Genomic DNA, 6,000 nt, shown 5'->3' with positions numbered 1-6,000 from the left:
ATGAATATGCAGGTGTCTGGAGCCATGGGCAGGTTGTCAGATGTATGGTCGCCAGATTTATTACCAAGGTAAAAGACATACATCATATGTAGAGCCAGCTGGTCACCTGTCAGGTGGGGAGCTGAGACTGAAAGCGGGCTGCTCAACACTGAGGAGATAACAGCTTTACAGAGAATCAGTGGTAGGGTGTCTAAAGGAAAAAAAAAAAACCTATCCTGCAAGGTGCACCTGCATGCTTTGTTTGTGGTAAAAACTGGAGGATGAGAAAACAAAAGCAAGTGCTGTGGAAGTATTAGACCTTGAGATTTAGAGAATATTTGATGTGGCATCTCATGAAACTTTAATCATGAAATTCATTCAAATTCATTGAGATATGTGGGATGATAGGAACTGAGAAGCAGAAGAAGCCGTCTCCATTCAGGGTGGTGATTTATGGAGCGGTAGAGAGCGGGATGCCTCTGTCTTCCCCCTCCAGCCTCACTTAACAACTTCATTAATAACCCAGATAAACAAGCCTTCTAGTTCATGAATAGCATCTGATATTAGATTGAGAGGTGTTGGGAATAACAAAGAAACCCCAAGCTGACAATGGACCCTCATAAAGAAAAACAGAGAATAGTGACCACAAGTAAATAGGATTCCATTGAGTTCAAAATGATTAAAATTATTCTGATAGTTTCCAAACACATTTGAGGAAAGAATGAAAACCCACTGAGTAATAGCTAGTAATTATTATTATGAGTTCCTATTCTAGACACTTTCATTTTATCCTCACAGCAACCTTATGATTTGGATTGTATTATCCTCTTTTACAAATGCTGCAAACTGAGGATCAGGAAGCATAAGCAATTAACAAAGAACCATTCAGGTAGTAAATATTAGAGTTAGGATTTGACGTGCAGGTGTGTTAGGCTTTGCAAGATAGTGCTCTTTCTTCTGTGTTCTTCCTACTCAAAATGTGGTCCACGAACCTGCAGCATCAGCCTCAGCATCACCTGGGAACTTGTTAGAAATGCAGACTCCCAAGCCCCTTCCTCCACCCCACTGAATCAAAAGCTGCATTTTTAGCAGGATTTGCAGATAATTCATACGCATGTGAAAGTCTGAGAGGACCTGGTCTGTACTCGGTGCACGTGGGAATGCAAGATCCTAATGTAGACAAGACTCTGTGATCTCCTCTTTCTTGTGCCAGGGTCATCATCTGAGTTCACCCTCAGATTTAGTGCTATCTGCATCTTACGAGGGAATCACCAGCCTCACACAACCACAATGGCCCTGCCCATTCAGCAAGTAAAGAGCAATTCAGAATGACCAGAGCAAATAACGCAAACTTTTGCTTCATTCACATCCTGTGTTTACTGTGATCCCAGCTTATACCACTTACAACACATAGCATTGGAGTTGTTGATTTAATTGCTGTCAGGTTTTCAGAAGGGTCTAAAATCTTTTTTTTTTTTTTTTTTGAGACAGCGTCTCGCTTTGTCACTGAGACTGGAGTGCAGTGTCGTGATCTCGGCTCACTGCAACTGCCACCTCCTGGGTTTAAGCAATTCTCATGCCTCAGCTGAGACTACAGGCATGCACCACCATGCCTGGCTAATTTTTGTATTTTTAGTGGAGACCAAAAGTGACCATGTTTAGTTGAGACTAAAAATGACCATGTTGGCCAAGCTGGTCTTGAACTCCTGACCTCAAGTGATCCGCCCACCTCAGCCTCCCAAAGTGTAGGGATTACAGGCAAGAGCCACTGTGCCCGGCAGCGGCTAAAATCTGAAAGGGCAAAGTTTGTCTGTTAACCCAAATCTTTGTTTCCCTGACACCTAGCACAGAGCCTCACCTGGTCTGGAGAAGATGCTCAACAAATGTTTGTTGAATGACTGTATGAATGAATGAATGGACACTGGGGATTGTTTTACTCTACCTACACTACTTCTCATTGATGACTTTGCCTAGACATTTACAAATCAGAAGTTTGCTGAAAACCTCTAGAAAGTTCTTTCATTCCTTCCCCACCCTTAAGCATAGGTATATTTTCCTTCTAGGCCCCTGCAGGTGTTCTCTTCTGGCAGAAACCAAAGAGAGGAAATCTACAGTATCCTCTTGACAATGAATTTAAAAAACAACAGTTGCAAATAAAAAAATACTTTCACAGATGGAATTTTCATGTTCTCATTTCTACTGCATATTGTAATTTGTGGTGGAAGGCTAAGGTCAGGACAGACTTATTCAGTCATTCAACAAATATTTATAAAGCCCTGATATGCAGCAAATGTTAGAGATAGGCAGACAATCAGACACACATCTTACCCACTCTTGTGGAGAAGAGAGACTGACAAGGGAGATAAGAAGTAAATTGGGATAATGAATTCAAAGCAGTTCATGAAGCTCAACAAACATATATTGAGTTATAGCTCTCAGCCATGCACTGTGCTAGCTGCTGGGAGGGAAAGATACTTCAGATGAATCCCTTGCCTAACGCAGATCGCAATGCAGTGAGACCAACACATGAACAGATCCTCTCTCTGCTGTGGCAAGGGCAGAGATAGGAGTGTCCGGGATGCTAAAGGAGCACATGGTGTGGGGGAGGGCACTGAATGGGGTGAGTGGCCAAAGAGAGGTGAGTCTTGGAAGAGTTCTTAGAGGACATTAGCCTGTGCTGAGTCTTGAGGCATAATAGGACTTGGAGGAGTGAACACTAAAGTCAAAGTTTCCTTGACTGAAGGATCAAAATAGTTAAATGTCACAGTGCTGAAGGACTATGGGGATTCTAGGGAGGGAGAAGTCGTATGTTTCAGAGACAGGAGGACAGGGACTACATGAAGGCTAAAACAGAGTTTGTGGTTTTGATTTGCATTTCCCTAATGACCAGTGATGATGAGCTTTTTTTCACATGTTTTTTGGCTGCATAAATGTCTTCTTTTGAGAAGTGTCTGTTCACATCCTTTACCCATTTTTGATGGGGTTATTTTTTTCTTATAAATTTGTTTAAGTTCCTTGTAGATTCTGGATATTAGCCCTTTGTCAGATGAATAGATTGCAAAATTTTTCTTCCATTCTGTAGGTTGCCTGTTCCCTTTTCACTCTGATGATAGTGTTTTTTAATTTTATTTTATTTTATTTTTTGCTGTGCAGAAGCTCTTTAGAGTAATTAGATCCCATTTGTCAATTTTGGCTTTTGTTACCATTGCTTTTGGTGTTTTAGTCATGAAGTCTTCGCCCATGCCTATGTCCTGAATGGTGTTGCCTAGGTTTTCTTTTATGGTTTTTATGGTTTTAGGTCTTACGTTTAAGTCTTTAATCCCCCTTGAGTTAATTTTTGTATAAGGTGTAAGGAAGGGGTCCAGTTTCAGTTTTCTCATGCTAGTTAGAATGGTGATCATTAAAAAGTCAGGAAGCAACAGATGCTGGAGAGGATGTGGAGAAATAGGAATGCTTTTACACTGTTGGTGGGAGTGTAAATTACTTCAACCATTGTGGAAGACAGTGTGGTGATTCCTCAAGGATCTAGAACCAGAAATACCATTTGACCCAGCAATCCCATTAGTGGGTATATACCCAAAGGATTATAAATCATTCCACTGTAAAGACACATGCACACATATGTTTACTGTGGCACTATTCACAATAGCAAAGACTTGGAACCAACCCAAATGCCCATCAATGATAGACTGGATAAAGAAAATGTGGCACATATATACCATAGAATACTATGCAGCCATAAAAAAGCTTTGTCCTTTGCAGGGACATGGATGAAGCTGGAAACCATCATTCTCAGCAAACTAACACAGGAACAGAAAACCAAACACTGCATGTTCTCATTTATAAGTGGGAGTTGAACTATGAGAACACCTGGACACAAGGAGGGGAACATCACACACTGGGGCTTGTCAGTGGGTGAAGGGGTAGGGGAGGGATAGCATTAGGAGAAATGCCTAATGTAGATGACGGGTTGATGGGTGCAGCAATTACCATGGCATGTGTATACCTGTGTAACAAACCTGCACGTTCTGCACATGTATCCCAGAACTTAAAGTATAATAAAAAAAAAAAAAAAGAAAAAATAGAGTTTGTGGCACTGAGATGGAGAAAGGTCATTCTATACTATGGAAAGAGTCTGCATAGATGTACAAGTGGGTCCCTTTCTCTTTCATTCTCATTCTTTCTCTCTCAACTCTTTAGCATTTAAAGTTTTTAGTAAATTAAAAATCATATTATTAAAAATGGCAATTTTAAAAGTGTTTAAATGAAAAAGAAATATTTAAATACAAATATAAATTTAACACAAACATAACAATTTTGAACACAAAAGATAATCATAGGATTTATTATATGCATCAATTTGTTCACTAAAGTTGGTGTAGTTCAGCCAGTGGACAAATAATTAAATGCCTATGATCATCATCTTCACTTTGAATACTGTTGGTATATCCCTGTAACTCATTATATGTATAACCTTCTTTGATGATGGCTTCGGAGGTCTTCATTTAAAAGCCCCTTGAGAATGGGAAGGTGGGCCAAATGGTTCTTCTGGCCTAGCTACATGCTACAGTGGAGTTTTTTTTTTTTTTTTTTTAAGTTAAGAAGATCACTGCTGAGAATGTTATGGGTGTGCTTTGTGTTTGGCCTGGGACGATCCAGTTCTAGCTCACATATTTCGCCACTGCCTGTTCCCTGAATGTTCTATCATGTTAGGTAGGCTTCCAGAAGGGACAGAGTTTAATCTACACAGTCTGCAATTACTTCAGAGCCCTTGGAGGACAGCAAAAAGCCTTCCATGGCCCCATCCCTTGGCTAAGATGTGGGATTTGCCTGCATCGCAAATCAGTGATGAATGACCAAGAAAAGCTTCTTGATGCTTTTTAAAGATGTTGATGGAGGGACTTTGATTGGAAATTCCAAGGTGCTTTAGAGCAGAGAAACTCCCCAGTGAAAGGATGTTAATCTGGAGCACCAGTGTCCTTGTTTCTTTCCTCTCCTTGTCTTCCATTCCTCCACAGGCTAGAAATGTGATCTCAAGACTTTTCTTAGTTTTAATTTTTGCTATGTTTAAAAATTAGAATTCTTCCACACTCTGGAGTCCTCCTCATTGGTATTCCAGATGTAAATTATGAGTAATGTGGAGGGATATTCAAAACTCAGAGGTTTCATATGACTTACAACTGCCCGTGATATGAGTGGGGTCAGAACCTGCTGTGACCACTCCTCACAGTGTCTCCCTAAATCATGCCAAGTCCTTTATGGGAGGATTTTAAGGGAAGCCAAAGGTTATGTTCTCTGCTTTCTTTTGTAAGTATGTCACAGTATGTTTGACCTGGAGACTGGTTCCCCTCACAGCTGGTGGTAGAGTCAGATCTGTGGTCTTTATTAAGATTTAAATCACTTAAAAGCCTATTTCTCTTCCCCTTACCCCAGACATAAAGAAGACTTACTGTATCAAAAAATGATTTCTTTTTAAAGCAAAAACATTGTTGACATATGAAAGTGTAATTCTTTCGGGTACAAAACCTATACCACATAATGATTTTTTTAAAGTAAGCTCAAAGGGTATTTTTTTTCTATATTACAAAGACTCCCTACTGTGGCATTTTTCATATTCAGTTCAAATGATATGGGGATATGTTAGTTGATTTAGTTGATTTACAGGGGATATGTTAGTTGATTTACTTACATAAAATCAAGTGTAGTTGTCTTGGTAATAGTAATGGTAGCAGCAGTGGGAGTAGTGCCATTATACCGTAGAGTAGAATATGGATAATTTTCATGTCATTACTATATAAAACCCATAATTCTTAGGACAAAATCCATTTAAATATAGCTTTAATGGCAGAAACTTGAGCAAATTTCCAAAGTTGGGTCTCATATTAACTAGCTTTCATGATTTAGACATATTTACTATAAAGTAACATCATAAATACTTAAAATTAAACAACTGTCAAGATGAATAAAATATGCTTTATGATCCAGAATGTCTCCTTTTGTGGCTAGATTTGGTAGCTACTC

This window comes from Homo sapiens, chromosome 2, assembly GCF_000001405.40.
Source record: "Homo sapiens chromosome 2, GRCh38.p14 Primary Assembly".
Classification (NCBI taxonomy): Eukaryota; Metazoa; Chordata; class Mammalia; order Primates; family Hominidae; genus Homo; species Homo sapiens.
This window is presented reverse-complemented; position numbering follows the sequence as displayed.